This window comes from Homo sapiens, chromosome 12 (genome assembly GCF_000001405.40).
Source record: "Homo sapiens chromosome 12, GRCh38.p14 Primary Assembly".
NCBI lineage: Eukaryota > Metazoa > Chordata > Mammalia > Primates > Hominidae > Homo > Homo sapiens.
The window spans coordinates 9,048,029-9,065,132 of NC_000012.12; the positions used below are offsets into that span (position 1 = coordinate 9,048,029).

Below are 17,104 nucleotides of genomic sequence, written 5' to 3' on the forward strand. Positions count from 1 at the left end.
ATATTCACAGGATATTTCATCCAACAACAGTAGAATACACATTTTTCTCAAGCTCACATGGAACATTCTTAAAGATGGGTCATATCCTAGTTCCAAAACACAACTTAATAAACTTAAAAGAATAGAAATCAAACAAAGTATGTGCTCAGAAAACAATGGAAATAAATTAGAAGTCAATAACAGAAAGATAGCTAGAAAATTCCAGAATATGTGGAGATTAAATAACATACTTCTAAATGACATATAGGCCCAAGAAGTCTTACGAGAAATTTAAAAAATATGTTGAACTAAATAAAAATGAAAACAAGTAACTAAGAAACGCTTCCTAACCCATTCTATGAGAACAACATTACCCTAATACCAAAACTAGAGAAATACAAGATAAGAAAAGTACAGATTAATATCTCTACTGAACAAAAATCCAAAAATCCTCAACAAAATATTAGAAAACCAAACCCAACAATGTGTAAGAATAGTTATGTGCAATGAAGAGTGGGATTTATTCTAGATATGCATGGCTAGTTCAGCATTCAAAAATCATTTAATGTAATCCATCACATATAACAGGCTAAAGAAAAAAACTTTTGGTCATATGAGTAAATACAGAAAAAGCATTTGACAAATTCAACACTCATTCTGGATAAAAACTCTCCAAACTCAACTGTATATAGAACATCTACAAAAAATCTACAGCTAACGTTATAATTAATGGTGAGAGACTAGATACTTTCCCCTCAAATCCTGAACAAGACGGGGATGTCTACTCTTACTACTCCTAGTCATCATTGTCCTGGAATTCCTAGCTAATGAAATAAGAGAAGAAAATAAAATGAAAGGTATACAGACTGGTAAGGAAGAAATGAAACTGTTTTTGTTCACAGATTACATGATTGGCTAGGTAAAAAATCTTGAAGGAGTTGAACCTTTGGGGCAGGGTTACCTGGCTTTTGATTTTAAAAGAACAAACAAGAGAAAAACAGAATTTGAGAAGGAAGAAAGCCAATTAAGAGACAGAAGTTTATGCTGAGAGGGACTTTCCCCAGGCTAAAATGATTCTTTTAGTCTGGACAGAGAAAGGTCAGTGAGTCCCTTCAGAGCAGGGACCTACTCTAGTTTCTGGTACTCTCTGAGTAAGTATCAGGGCTTCAGAAGGAAGGTCTGCATGGAGCACTTGGAAGGTTGGGTTCCAGGCCCAGCTGCTTGTTCTTGGTCAAAGATTCCTATCCTCTGGGCCCACAATGTGGCCACAGAGTGGTGGATCTAGAATGGTCATGTGGACTACAGACAGATGCCGGTGGCGGAGTGGGTGCCATATCTTGATCCTGTATTTGGTCACCAGGTAGGAAGGACCCAAAATGTCTGAGATAAATTTCCTGTCAGTCCAATGGAGCTGGGGTTTAGAGTCATATTTTATTTACAAAAAATAAAGGGATGTGGTATTTCTTGTAGAATACATTGTTTCTAAGAAAATAAAACTTAAAGCAAAAATCAGCTATTTCCAGGGTTGTGAATGCAATTCTGCCCATAGATAAGGATGATTTGTGCTAGTACCTTATTTTATCTTCTCATTTCAGGTTTCTATGGTTATTTTACTCCTCTCTTCTCTGTTCCCATTGCCTAAGTTTATTTTTATTTTTATTTTTTACGAGATTTTTAATGAAGTAGCAGCACTCAACTTTTTTAACCTTTGCTGCCACCCTGTGGCTATCTTTTATTACTGTATATGAAAGGGGCATCTTGGAGCTTCTGCTAAGCCATCCAAACAGGAACAAGTAAGTGTAGGGGAAGCATATAAAAAACGTATTTGAAAATAATACTGCTCGGTATCTGGGGCATGAATCTGATATATGCTATACGTGTCTTATGTATCAGTATATGTCTTTCAGAATGCTATTAGTCTGTGTCTAACCTTATCATAGTACTCCCCCATTCCTCACTTCAAATCAAGATGCATAACTACGCTGGGAACACAGTAATTGTTGATCCTGACTTGCCACCTAGTGTCAATTATTGATTTTAATAAACTTCAGAAAAAAAATCTTCGTAGGAAGCTGAACCTGAAATCTACAGTAGACTTAATTATTAAAATAGAGCTCTTTGTAGACTTTCAGTTGGTCTAAAACGTGTCACATTGGTGCAAAGCATTTTGGCTCTCCCTAAGCGGTAAGAAATACAGTTTTAAGAAGTGGAATATCCTTATAGCCCATTTTTCAGGAAAATTTTCCATGAGAAATAAGGATGACTGTAATAATCTCCTTGCCACCTGTCTCTCTCACACTAGCTCTGCCACTTGTTATCATCCTAAACAAAATCTGATCTTGCCGCTGTGTTGTCTCTAAAAGATTTCATTAGCTTCCTATTAATGGCAGTGGCTGCTTGCTATCATGCCCCATGCAGCCAGTGGGAGCTTCGCCTCTTCTGAGTTGGGGTGGGGGCTCCCCAAGGTGCTGCTGCAGCCCTGCAAACCTCAGTCCTCCAAACCTCAGCTGCAGACCCAGGCTTCCTGCTCTATGAAGCAGGCAGGAGCCCCGTCCTCCTGGGTGGGGCTACAGCCGCCCAAATGCGCTTGTGGATATGAGCCTCCCTGTGCTCCCGGAGGGGGCCGGGAGTAGGCAGGATCTGCTCTTTTGGGTGCAGCTGCAGCTGCCCAATCCTCAGCTGCAGACCTGGGCCTCGCGCTCCACGGAGCAGGCAGGAGCCAGGGACACGTGGGAACCTCCCCCCTTTCAAGTTGGCGAGGTGGGAGCTCCCCTGGCGCAGGACCTGGGCATCTCTGCAGTGTGCACCCTCATGGGCCCAGGAAGGTCCCTCCCACACTCCTGTTCGCAAGCTCAGGGGTGTCTGCTTCCACTGCCTGGCCTCTCTCTGCTCCTGGCACTGGCTTGGATCTTGGAATGAGGACTTGGGAGCCATGAATGGTGGCAGGAGGCAGAGTCCTGGGAGGAAGGGGGCGGGCCCCCAGTAAGGCCCCACCTTCAGATCAGGAAGGGCCTGAAGGCTGGGGGCCAGGCTGCCAGTCCCACCAACTGGAGTGGGGACTTGTAGTGCCTCTTCCTGCCCACCCATGGTGCCCATGGACCAATCGGCACACACTTCCTCCCCTCCGAGGTCCATAAAAGCCCTGGGCTCAGCCAGAACAAGATAGGATGGAGAGAACGGAGAGAGGACTCAATGGGAAGACCAGCTGCAGAAAGGAACCACCCTCTCTGCTCAGAGCTTCAGAGACTTCCAGAGACGGGATTACCAGCTGCAGAGAGGAGTAACTCTTTCCAAGAGGCCAGCTGCAGAGAGGAGCAGCCCCCTCCAGGGCTTCCTCTCTGCTGACAGCAGATGTCAGGATGACCTGTCTACAGAGATGACACAATGGGAAGACCAGCTGCAGAGAGGAACTACCCTCTCTGCTGAGAGATTCAGAGACCTGCAGAGGCGAGCAACCCTTTCCAGGAGGCCAGCTGCGGAGAGGAGCAATCCTCTCCACGCTTCCTGTCTGTTGATGGCAGACGTCAGGACAACCTGTCTACAGAGAGCTAGCCACTGCAGGTCTCCTCTGAGCTGTTCTAACGCTTAGTATAGCTCATCTTTGTCTTGTTCACCCTTCACTTGTCTGCATACGGGAAAATCAACACCCCCAAAAATCCCCTAAGACCATTACTTATAAAATAACATGAAAACTTCTGTTAACACGCTTGATAAATGAGTCTCAACTGATTTCTCTAGCCTCACTTTTTATCACTGCCATCAACACTGTCCTGACTTTTCAACATTAAACCATGTCTAACTCTTTTAGCATAGGCCCCAATTGAGAACTGCTCTGTTTTCTGTCCTAAGCCTTACTTAGATCTTTTCATTGCAATTAGACAAAAATATCAGAGTATTAAGAGTCAGAGACCAATCAACAGGATGTTCTCTGTTCCTTCGTTTCCCACCAAATACAGCACTATGCACGAAGGTGGCATTCTCTATTGTGTCCATTTGTTGGGGAGCCCTGCAAATCTGGGCCCCAGCTGATGCAGCTCTCTTGTGATTGAGATTTACAACAGGAATCTCATGTGCCTTATATAAGAGCGTCTGCAGGCATGGCTGGATCCAATTCTGAGGATGGAGATTCTCTGACCCTTTTATTAAATACAGGATAGTGGATTATTCATAATCTTGGACTCCATTGTATTATCCAATTATAAGTCTATTGGCTCTTTCGAGGACACTGAGAGGCTCTTTTCTTTCTCTACTCTGGGAAGAAAGAAGGTAGGGCCACATAATCTTTAAATAAAGAGACTCTAAGCAAGAAGTTTTGTAGGTGTTACCTTTTCTCCTCCCTCAGCATAGTCTGACTTTGGGAAGGGCAAATTCAAATCGTGAGCAGCACTGGTCACAGTCTACCAGTGCCACATGCCTCACACAAGAAGCGGACAATCACGCCATGCTGATGCCAACAGGTCTCAGACATGAACTCACCCAAGGGTCTCACAGATGCCTTTCCTGTTTTCTTTGCCCCATTTTTCTTTTTTCTGCTTTGCTTTTACATACTTTCTCTTCTTTTGAACACATCTGTCCTTCTGCATTCAGCCTCCCACCATCATCTGATATCTCAAAAGAAGAGACAGCCGTCTCCTTCCTCACAGCTGAGTAGCACTGAGAAGTAGTTAAGGGTATGGACTCTGGAGCTGGAATGCTTAGGTTAAAATCTTGCCTCATTTTTCACTTGGAGCTTGGGAAAGTTTCTGAACTTCTCCAAACTTCTGTTTTTCATTTAAAAATGGGATTAATAATAGTATCTACATCATAATGTGATTGTGAGGATAAAATTACCTAATACCAGAAAAATGCTTAAAGCAGTGCCAGGCAGATGGTAGATACTCAGTATTGCCTTTTAAAAAATTAACCCTTCTATCTCTTTTGTGCTTCTACATTTTTTTAATCTCCTTAGAAAACTTGTTCCTGTACAGCAGGTCCTCCAATAAGATTGTTCCTGTTCAACCTCGTTTTGTTATAATGTTGATGAGACAATGGCCAGGGCCACCTGTCTGTGTGGAGTTTGCGTATTCTCCCCATGTCTGTGTGGGTTTCCTCTGGGCACTTCGGGTTCCTTGCAAATCCCAGAGATATGCACATTAGGTTCGTTGGCACATCTAAATGGTCCTAGTCTGAGTGTGAGTGTGGGTGTGAGTGTGCCTGCGACGGGGTGTCCTGTGCAGGGTTGTTCCCACCTTGGCCCTGAGCTACCAGGAAAGGCTGTGACCACCTGTGACCCTGAACTAGAATACACAGCTTGGAAAAAGAAACAAAGAATGAATACATAATTTCACAATAATTTGTGAAATTAATGGCTAAGAATGGGATCCATCAGATGTCTACCCTGTGAAGTAGATGATAATCATACAGATACATGGCAATAAATGATGCAGGATGAAAATGCTCGCGACCCCACCACATTTGTTCTCATTTGTTGTTGAACTGCATGCTGGTAGGAGGTGCTACTTCCTACCAAAACTTTGGTTTGTAAACATTTCTTCCTTGATTTAACCCATCACCACTAAGGAAACCATCCCTATAAACTTTATAAAATTAATCAGGGAAGAAGGGAGGGGGAGAAATGAAAATAAACCCAGCTTGCAGCACACTCAGCATTAAGCACTAGGTCAGCCTGTGCTCGGACCTGCTTCCTCCTAGTTGTTTGCTGCCTGTTGCCCTAGAATCACACAGACCCTAGATCGTAGTTCCCCTTAACTGCTCTACAGATAACAACTTGAACATTATAAAATGCAAAGTTTTCCATTTGAGATATCCTTTCAGGTGCTGCATACTAATGAAACTACTGACATCAACTGGTCTGAAGGACCCCATAGGAGCTGACTCACCAAAGAATGCAGTTTCCATGTCCTGATGAATTCATTCTCCTTACCCCAGCCAATCAATGGTCCCAATTCTCCAGCTCCTCACCCTCCATGATCCCCTTAAAAGCCCCAGCCCAGAACTCTTCAGGGAGGTGAATTTGAGGGTCCCCTCACATCTCCTCACTTGGTGCTCTGTGAACGTTAAACCCTTTCTCTGCTACAAACCCTGCTGTCTCAGTGTAACTGGTCTGTTATTGTGCACTGGTCATACGAATCTGTTGGTCATGTAACACTATGAATGCTGTCACTCAGTGATTCACCATAAATTGGGGAGTCGCCTTGTTTTTATTTATTTATCATGTTTATTTCAATGTTCAATATTAGAAATGTTTTGGGTCTTCATTTAGAAGTTTGGTGATGTTTCTGTGATCAGATATATGCTGTAGAAACAGCTCATTTTATTTTTAAAATTTAAATATAATTTTTATTACCAAGGTTATGTGCAAAATTTTAAAAAGGCAAATTTTCCTATGACTCTTTATGAAAAATAATAGTTCATGGACTTCTTTAATCTTTAATTTTTATGGATACATAATAGTTGCATGTATTTATAGGGTACATGTATTTTTATACAAGCATACAACGTGTAATGATCACTTATAATTGGGATATTCATCACATTAAACGTTTATTATTTATTTGTGTTAGGAGCTTTCCTAACACAATTCTACTATTCTAGTTATTTTTAAATGGAGAGTAAATTACTGTTTACTATAGTTGCTCTATTTTGCTACTGAACACTAGATCTTATTCCTTGGTTATATTGATTAGCCTAGGGTAAAATTGGTTTTGTTCTATGTCATGTCATTTAAAGTTGCAGTTTCTAAGAACCTATCAATGGTGTTAAGAGAGGATCTACTATACAGGTTGAGCATCTCTAATCCAAAAATCTGACATCCAAAGTGTTCCAAAATCTGAAACTTTTCAAGTGCTGAAGTGATGCTAGGAGGAAATACTCACTGGAACATTCTGGGTTTCCAGTTTTTGGATTAGGGATACTCAACTGGTAAGCATACTTCAAATATTTCAAATCTAAAAAATTCAAAATTCAAAACACTTCTGGTCCCAAGTATTTTGGATAAGGGATACGCCACCTGTACTTATTTATACTTCTCCAATAACACGTGATTCTGTCACACACATAAAACTGATATCCAGATGTTTTTCAACCCAAAGTCATACAAATGGTCAGTGGCAGATTTTGGACCAGAAGTTAAGCATTTCTAATTCCATGAAATTGTCGTAATATTATGACTCCCACCTAAACATAACTTATTAATTAATTGATTGATTGATAAATTTTCACCTTTCTGCAATACGGAGCTTCTATCTAGACAGGCCAGTCATTTTACCTGGTGCTAAAATAAACCATTTCTTCTGCTTTTGCAAAAAATGTTTCCACTCAGATATACTCTACACTCTTGTCACTAATCTTCAGTTTAGAAGTTTTTTCTTGGAGTGAAACTTTCCCAGATTGCCATTACATTGCTTTGCATATTCTGAGGTTCTGCAGTAGTGAGGCTGTTGTGAATTGTTCCTAAATTTATGCTAGGTGCTCTTACCTCAATTTGGATGCCATTATTTGTTTATTGCAAATACAGGGTACAATGAAAAGCAGTAAGTGCGCATGGAGTAAATTTGCATTAAATGAAGAAGGAATCAATTATAGAGTCTCTAGAAATACATATTTATTTGCCAACCTCATTCAGTATCTGTATTGCAGGGACAAAATATCCTTTTAAAAAGTCGTGGGTCTGGGGATTCCAGCCAAGTCTTGTTTATAGACACAAGCCTCAAACATTTTCTTGCTCTGTGCCTGTGGAGAGAAGAGGAAAGCGAACAGGATGACTTCGGGCTTGCCAAGGAGTGAATTTAATTCTAATTGGATATGGACAGCAGCAGGGCTTTGCTAAAGGAGACCAAACTGGTTATGGCTGAGAATGGAATCCATCAGATATCTACCCTAATCACAGGGTAATTTCATTTACACTCTTCTGATAAGAAAATCAGGAAACCTTCCAGGAAGTTAGTGTTCCTCTCCAAAGCTGTATAGTTCTGCGTTACCTTGCAGTATGATAAATCTGATATCAACTAATAAAAGATGTAGATGATTTTGTATTTAGGAGGACTGCTTTTGAGAGCAAAATGAAGGCTTGGGATATGTAGAGCAAACTGCCTATCGGCTGCAGGGGACACTGTATTCAGCAAATTTGCTTCATCTGAAACACACAATGGGAGAAAAGCTTGAGAATGGGAGCTTCAACGGGACAGGGCTATGTGGAGAGGCTTTGACCTATTTAAGGACTGCAAACCATACTGAATCAGGGCCTGCGTGATCACAAAAATGTCAGCTCACTGGGGAAATATATAGACATGGTCAAGGAATTTCCACTCTTGATACCATTAGTATAATCCGTTACTCTGGTGGAAAATCAAAGCCTGCTCATGCTACAGTGTTCAAGCAAAGTACTAGGGGGGATCACGCGGGTATGTGTTCTTTCAGTTCTTGTTCCATATTTGCTTCTTTTTTCTTGCATGATATTTCTTATATGTTTTCCTCATCTGAAAGACTTAGCATAATTCTCTCCATAAATCAGTATAATACCCACGATTTATATTCCAGCTGAAATTTTACTTGGGGGGTGTGTGTGTGTGTGTGTGTGTGTATTTTAGGGATGGGGTCTCACTCTTTCACTCACTGCAGCCTCAAACTCCTGGGTTCCAATGATCGTCCTGCCTCAGCCTCCTGAGTAGCTGGGACTACTACAGGTGTGTACCAGCATGCTGGCTGATTTTATTTTTCAATTTTTTGTAGAGATGGGCTCTCACTTAGTTGCCCAGGCTGGTCTCAAACTTCTAGCTTTAAGAGATCATTCTGCCATGGCCTCCCAAACTGCTGGGATTATAGGCATAAGCCACTGTGCCCAGCCTCTTCATTTGCTGTTTAAAGACCACTCAACGCTATAGTTCTCACCCCTCTCTTAGTTCCTACTATAATTATTTGTATAGTTCTTAGGCTCTTCTTTATTTCTTTGCATTGCTATATTATCTTTTTAAGATTTATGTATGCCTTTATTTATAAGCACTTCTACGTAAAACTCTTGGTACTTTGGATTATTTTGCACGACTGATAGGCTTACATATCAATATACATGTATATTACAGGTAGTTTTGGCAGTAGTTTTGTAGGCCAAGGAAGAAAAAATAAGTTATGGAGACAGATTAAACTGAAAACAAGATGTACAAGGGTTTACCACACTTTTATTGCTTTAAGAATTGAGGTTTGGCCTCCACTTCCACCCTTGTTGCTACTATCTCAAGTGAAATAACTCAGAAACAGGAGGTCAAATACTTCACATTCTCACTTATAAGTGGGAGCTAAATAATTTGTACACATGGACATAGAGAGTGGGATAACAGATACTGGAGACTCAGAAGGGTGGGAGGGTGACAGGGCAAGAGGGATGGGAAATCACTTAATGGGTACAATGTACTCTAATTGGGTGATGGCTACACTCAAAGCCCAGACTTCACCACTGTGCAATGTAGCCATGTAACAAAACCATACTTGTACCCCCTAAATCTATATAAAGTAAAAAAGAAAAAAACCCCAAACACATTGGCTTTTATTTTATTTTTCCATCAAAGACACCACACTGGAAAGAACTGAGTTTATCTAGGATTCTGTTTTGCTCACCTGTCTTATAGTAATCATAGGCTTTCACAAAAGCAGGTTTCAGCTTTCTTATGGGGTTGTCTTGCAGAAGAGTGAAAGAAAAGGTCAGTGTTCAATCCGTAACCCAAGAAAGGAAGGAGTAATAATGCGGAACCAGGGAGGCCTCATCTCTTTTTCCTTAGCATCAGTCTTCATCCTTTGAAAGATAATTTTTTAGTGGGCTAATAGGATTCATTCTCTAATTCATTGTGCTCCCTAATGGCTCACATAGGGAGCAGTTGGAGGGTGATGTGGATTTTAGAGTAGGAACCTCAGGAACTTGAGCAGAGGCTCCCAAAAGTAGATTAGAAGTTTATTAGTCTTTTAAACGATTAAAATAATACATATTCCTCCATAATATCCAACACATGGCTCTGCCTATAGTGAGAGATAGATTCTTTATACTGGCAAGCTGACTCTATCTATATTAATATTAATATTTCCAAATATTCAGGAAACAGGCGTACATCAGGGGCTGTTCTTTTGCTGCAAATGAAGTTGATGGAATTACACTGTGATACGACTGACTGTGAGTAATAGATCTAGACTGATAGCATATCTGTTTATCATCTGTATCTAATCTGTCATCTACCTTATTTATCTATTATCTATCTAGCTATCTCTCTATGTATAATTTATCTAACTTCTCTCATACATGTATGCTAAGGTAAGGTTGATTTAATCACTGACAACCCTTGGAAACACTTCCTATCCTTGATTACCAACTTTCAACATGGCTTCTGGATGATGAAGCTTATTTATGGAAAAGAATGTTTATCTGAAGTATACAGAAATATTCATATGCTCATTTTAATATAAACAAACATATATGTTTTAATATAAACATATAAATATTCATATGCTCATTGTAATATAAACAAACATATATGTTTTAATATAAACATATAAATATTCATATGCTCATTTTAATATAAACAAATCCATACCTACTGGCCTCCCCCAACCCTCTTGTCTGTGACACTCCAAATCCCAGGAAGCTTGCGATGAGGAATGAGGATGTAAAATATCTCACGTGAACAGAGAGGATGTGCTTTTCCAAATGGCCTTCCTAATGACTGCTCTTCTCGTACCACGTGCTTGCCTGGTGATGAGATCCCCTAGAAGGACTGTTCACCTGGGTCTGTCTAGCAAGGCTGGCAGGGGCCCCACCTGGTCCACAGAAATCAAGATATGGTTGTTGTGCACTTCTGTCCTGCTCACGTGGCTAGATCTTTCAAGCTAAGGAAAATAAGAGAAATCACCAGTGTTACTGAATAAAGAAAGCCTGTGGGGTACAAAGAGACAAATAGACTATGAGATTGAAGAAGTCTATACATAAACAAAGCTGGGGTTAAATTCATTTAAATGAGTTCGAAGACACTTGTCCAGTAAGATGAAAACATATACAGAGTATTATGAATACCACCACATTAGATACAAGATTGAATATTCATATGATTAAGTAACAGGCGTCTTTAGCATTTGTTTGAAGGTGAGGGAGAAGTGTCCTCACATTGGATAGCTAGTCATCTGAGATGATTTGCAAAGCCATCTGTCTCTACACTGCCATTCATCTCAGCTTTCTCTACATTTCACAGTACTTAAAGACTATGCCAATGATTTTGGTACTTAATTATATCTTGCCCTGAAATGTCATTTGACAGTTTTGGTTACCCATGTGTAATATTTTTATCTAGAATGTATCAGCACCTAGCACAATGCTAAATATATATTTGGTACTATATGAATTCAATTTCCTTAGATTATGACCAATGTTGCTTTGACATTATTAGGATACCATTGTTTTATTCTTACATTGGATTAAAAAAATCCAAACACCTAGCACCTATTTACCATTTTCACTGTGGGTTTCAATGGATAAAACCAGATATCAACTTGGATACATCCAAGATTAGACAGCTCCCTGTGTAACTATAGATATAAGAAAGAAAAATAAGCCTCAGTGTCTTTTGAATCTTGCTCTCAGTTAAGGTTCAACATAAGCCCTGACATCTTTATTTATTTTTGTTTTTATGTTTAATTTTATATATGCATGTATGTATGTTGAGACAGGTTCTTGCTCTGTCACCGAGGCTGGAGTGTGGTGACATGATCACTGATCACTGCAGCTTCCCAGGCTCCAGCTATCCTCCCACCTCAGCCTCCTGAGTAGCTGGGACCACAGGTGCATGCCACTATGCCCGGCTAATTTTTGTGTTTTTGGTAGAGATGAGGTTTTGCCATGTTTCCTGGGCTGGTCTTGAACCCCTGAACTCAAGCAATCCATCCGCCTTGGCCTCCCAAACCAAAGTGTTGGGGTTACAGGTGTGAGCCACTGTGCCCAGCCAGCCCTGGCATCTTTTTTTTTTTTTTTTTTTTTTTTTTGAGATGGAGTTTCGCTCTGTCGCCCAGGCTGGAGTGCAGTGGCGTGATCTCGGCTCACTGCAAGCTCCGCCTCCTGGGTTCAAGCCATTCTGCTGCCTCAGCCTCCCGAGTAGTTGGGACTACAGGTGCCCGCCACCACATCCGGCTAATTTTTTGTATTTTGTTTGTTTGTTTGTTTGTTTGTAGAGACGGGGCTTCATTGTGTTAGCCAGGATGGTCTCGATCTCCTGACCTCATGATCTGCCCACCTTGGCCTCCCAAAGTGCTGGGATTACAGGCGTGAGCCATCGCACCCGGCCCCAGCCCTGGCATCTTTAAGTAGCTTTGCTAACTATTCCTGTGTCCTTAGTGGTCTTTCAACTGCTGGGAATAAATAGCCTTTACTGTCAGTGTGAATGGTTCTGAAAACTAACTGCATGATAGAACCACCTACAGAGTTCATTAAAAACATAGATGCCTGTTAGCCCAACGTGGTGGTGGGCGCCTATAGTTCCAGCTCCTAGGGAGGCTGAGGCAGAAGAATTGCTTGAACCTGGGAGCAGAGGTTGCAGTGAGCTGAGATTGCGCCATTGCACTCCAGCCTGGGCAACAGAGTGAGACTCCATCTCAAAAAACAAAAAAACGAAAACAAAAAACAAAAAACGCAGATGTCTGAGCACATCCCCAAAAATAATTAATTAAATCTTTATTGATGAGACCTGGATATCTGCATTTTAAAATAAATTCTACAAAGGATGCTAACCAGATTTTAGAATTGCTGGTATATGTCGCTTCTTTATAACTTATATGTTTTGGATTAATGATGATCTTTTTCGTCACGTGAAGACTATCTTCACAATTAGACTATAAGATTTCTCTAGGTAAGAGACAGTATATTTATATTTCCTGTGGTTACTCGAATATGATTTTGCTTAATTAATATGTCTTGCTTTTGTGAAACACATTTAACTTGTCTACTGATGATGGATCAAATTGTGAATATTATTTCCTTTTTTCATCCGAGAAGCTAGGATTAAATTCCTTTAAATGAATTTGAAGAATTTTGTATTTATAACCAGAGTCATGGGTTGTATTCCAAGTAAAGCTTTTTTTATTTTTTATTTTTTTATGAGATAGGATCTCACTATGTTGCCCACACTGGTTTTGAATTCCTGGGCTTCATATGATCCTCCCATCTCAATCTCCTGAGTAGCTGCCAGATAAAGTTTTTGAAAAGTGTTGTTGAATTGGGAATCTTTTTTCTCTTAGAAAAATAGAATTAATTTTTTTTTAATAGAGATGGGGCCTTGCTATGTTTTCCAGATGTTTGCCAGGTTGGTCTTGCACTCCTGGCCTCAAGCAATCTTCCTACCTTGGCCTCCCAAAGTGCTAGGATTACAGGTGTCAGCCACCGCACCTGGCCATTGTGCCTGGCCAAAAAATATAATTTTAAAAAGACCAGAAAGACTTTTCTTTAGAGGTAAAGATGAATGAGCCTATGTTAAAGTGTCATTGAAAGAAATTATTAATGGTCAGTCGTGGTGACTCACCCCTGTAATTCCAGCACTTTGAGAGGCTTAAGTAGAAGGATCTCTTGAGCCCAGGAGTTTGAGACCAGCCTGGGCAGCATAGCGAGACCCTATCTCTACAAAAAATAAATAAATAAGATGAAAAAGAAGTTATTTATTCTTCGATCATGATGGCAGGCAATCAAAGAATCTTGGAGGCATACTAGTTAGAGCTTTTAACCCCACAGGTCTTCATTGTCCACATCGGTGATGACCATTTTTTTAGTAGACAAGGCAAGAACTTAATGAAGAGAATTACTTTACGTTTCTTGAATTTACTACTGAAGAGTTATAGGTAGCTAATAGCTAATATTTTCGTAGCTAGTGTTGGGACACGGAAACCAACCCCCCAAAATATGGTGCTTTGATGGGCTGAACTGTATAGTATATCTGATATATTTATATAGTGTATAAAAAATCACCTGACACAATAGATGGATAATATATCTGATATATTTATATATCGTATAAGAAATCACCTGACACAATAGATATGTAATATATCTGATATATTTATATATTGTATAAAAAATCACCTGACACAATAGATGGATAATATATCTGATATATTTATATATTGTATAAAAAATCACCTGACACAATAGATGGATAATATATCTGATATATTTATATATTGTATAAAAAATCACCTGACACAATAGATGGATAATGTATCTGATATATTTATATATTGTATAAAAAATCACCTGACACAATAGATGGATAATATATCTGATATATTTGTATATTGTATAAAAAATCACCTGACACAATAGATGGATAATATATCTGATATATTTATATATTGTATAAAAAATCACCTGACACAATAGATGGATAATGTATCTGATATATTTATATATTGTATAAAAAATCACCTGACACAATAGATGGATAATATATCTGATATATTTATATATTGTATAAAGAATCACCTGACACAATAGATGGATAATATATCTGATATGTTTATATCAGATATATTATACATTTATATATTATACATATACATTTATATATATACATAATAAATACATTGTATTATACATATATGTATATATTATACATATACATTTATATGTATAATATAGTTGACATATTTATATATTTATATCGGATATATTGTACATTTATAATATATTTATTATATTTTATATTATAGTATATTATCATTTATAATATATTGTTATATGTTATATGATATATATTTATAGCAGACATAGTAAATATCTATTGTGTTAGGTGATTTTTTATACAATATATAAATATATCAGATATATTATACATTTAAACAGTTAAACACCTAAACAGCCCAATTTTATGTGGATCAGTACTACTAACGGCTTAGGGTAAAATGACAGCTACAGCATAACTAGAATGTTAAAGTGGCATGTCTCAGACAACGTGGATGGACATAAAGTATTTGAGAGAATATTGCATAATAGAAAAAAACATTGTAAAGACTAAAATACTAAATAAGACCTTTTTTTCCCGAGCAATAATTTGCCCAGGCTGGTCTCAAACTCTTGGCCTCAAATGATCCTCCTGCCTTGGCCTCCTAAAGCATTGGGATTATAGGCATGAACCACTGCTCCTGGCCAGAATTCTTGATTAAACAATAGGGTCTAAATAAATTTAAACCCCTTTTATTCTTTTTATTCTTACAGGGTAGACTCAAATATTCTATTTCTTTCCAACTTTATATTCTTGTCATAACAACCCAGTATTCTCTGAGGCAAATGGATGCTTATGACCAACTGGCCTGAAATGGGGGAATATAGGGTTAGTGGTGAGTCACATATAAGAAAATGCAAGAGAATAGCAGTGTATCATATTTCAAAATAAAATACAAACTATACATAAAACTGACCCCAACAAGTATCCATTTCATTTCCTGTCGTGTATCTATATGCTTTCCTGGAAAGAATAAACTTCAGTTCACAAAATCAGATGTAGAAGATACATCACTTTTAAAAATTCTACGTAATTTTAATTCCAAGATTCCCATGCCACCAGGCTGGTGGGAAATCCAGTTTAAGTTGTAATTAGGCCTTTTCTCCAGTATTACATATGAATTTGAGTGTAATACCCCAAAACTTGAGAAGGCCATTGTATCTCCAGTCCACTGGGGCAATGAATAGCTTGAGCACCTGATCATTATAATGACCCAGATGTGTATCTTTTTCTTTTACTCTGCGGTGAGTTTTTCTAAGGGAGGAATCCTATTTTGTTTAATTTTGTATTATAGCATGGGATATTGTGCCTGGCAGATAGTAGGCAATCAGTTAGTATTTCAGGAATAAACACTCTTGGTCAGTGATACAGCTAATGATTTGCAACAAGCATATCCTTAAAGTACCTTTTCAGTAACGATTTCCATATGAACAAAGAAAAAAACTAGAACCAAGAGGTAAAATTATAATCCTGTTGTCTTGTTCCCATAGCCATACTCTGATTTCTTTTATGTTCTGTGCCCTGGCTTGATACTTAATTTGACAGCTAATTATAATGTTTATTAAGCTCTGAAATATACTTTCTCCTGGCCTTTTTGTCTGAAGTTGTTTGAGGTGTCACCATGGTTGGAAGTTAAGAGCATGGAAGCTAGACTTCTTGGTCTTGAATTCTAGCTTTGTCACTAACTTAGTAACTTTGGGCAAATTACATGTCTCTGCTTCAATTTCATTTGTTAAGGTAGTACCTATTTCACAAGGCTGATGGTGGCAGCAGTGGGGCGTCCAGAGCTGCCGCTGCCATCACGCCAGCTGCAGCAGGGAGGGGCGGGCAGCGGCGGCGGAGCAGCTGCGGGAGCCGCAGTGGCTGCTGTGGGACATCTGTGCCTCGCGTCCCCTGTGCCTTGAGACCCCAAAGCAGCCGACTGCGCCGCCACCATCCTCGCGTTGCCGGGTGGGGCGACGTGCTCCCCGGCCAGGAGCCTCCACCGCTCCGGACCCTGGCCCTATGTCGCCGCTCTCGCCCGCCGCCGCCGCGGAGTGGGAGTGGGGAGGAGGGGAACAGTCCTTGGAGCCGGCCCCGGGAGTACTCCCGGAGCCTGCCGCCCTGGAAGCCGCCACGATGGACCGGGCTGAGTCGCCCGCCGGAGGGGAAGCAGTGTAGTCGGGCACGGAGGGGCAGGCAGAGAGGGGCCCCAAGGCGGAGCTGGGTCCGGGGCGGAGCGGTGTTCGCACACAAAGCGCTGGGGCTGGACCCAGGGTTCGGGGCCAAGGCGAGAAGTGGGAGCGGGGCCCGCTTTGGGGACCCGGACAGCGGTGTGGCCACCGCGCACACCTCCGACAGCGCCGCATTCCTGGGCCTTGGGAGGAGGCTCTGAGTAGGGCCGCCTGGGGCGCGTCTTCAGGGTCCTCCCGGCACTGGGGTGACCGCCGAGCTAGACGCGCCTGAGGGCTGAGCCCCAGGGCTCGTGATCTGCTCCCGGAGGCGCCCCCCAGGCAGGGCCGTGAGCCGGGCGAGGGAGAGTCCTGGGCTGCCCCTGAGCCCCGGGGCCACGGGAAGAACTTGCAGCGACGTCATCCCTGCCCCGGACACAGTCCCGGGCCCAGGGAGGA

At 40.6% G+C, this 17,104-nt stretch overlaps 1 protein-coding gene and 1 long non-coding RNA gene across 5 annotated transcripts in view, besides 2 other annotated features; one reads left to right on the forward strand and one right to left on the reverse strand.

Annotated features, from left to right (window-relative positions):
- The window catches only part of KLRG1 (killer cell lectin like receptor G1), a 265,527-nt gene that overhangs the window by 97,985 nt on the left and 150,438 nt on the right, over positions 1-17,104 (forward strand). For 3 of the 4 annotated variants that reach the window (XM_017018685.2, XM_047428074.1, XM_017018684.2), the window contains exon 6: positions 10,064-10,138. In XM_017018685.2, the coding sequence (XP_016874174.1) occupies positions 10,064-10,105 (42 nt within the window). In that variant the 3' untranslated portion in view covers positions 10,106-10,138. Of the gene's footprint in view, positions 1-10,063; positions 10,139-10,603; positions 10,692-17,104 lie in introns of those variants that run through there. The other variant, XM_017018682.2, reaches the window with a different exon arrangement.
- LINC00612 (long intergenic non-protein coding RNA 612) lies at positions 7,561-17,042 on the reverse strand. The gene is made up of 3 exons (NR_034140.1): positions 16,240-17,042; positions 9,592-10,848; positions 7,561-7,710 (listed from the first exon to the last, which is right to left on the reverse strand). It is a non-coding gene; the product is annotated as a long intergenic non-protein coding RNA 612 (long non-coding RNA).
- Positions 16,378-16,427: a silencer, noted in NCBI's record as "silent region_4221". NCBI's record gives its function as "represses an Ori minimal core promoter by ATAC-STARR-seq in GM12878 lymphoblastoid cells {active_cell/tissue: GM12878}" and the evidence as "EXISTENCE:reporter gene assay evidence [ECO:0000049][PMID:35858748]".
- Positions 16,488-16,537: a silencer, noted in NCBI's record as "silent region_4222". NCBI's record gives its function as "represses an Ori minimal core promoter by ATAC-STARR-seq in GM12878 lymphoblastoid cells {active_cell/tissue: GM12878}" and the evidence as "EXISTENCE:reporter gene assay evidence [ECO:0000049][PMID:35858748]".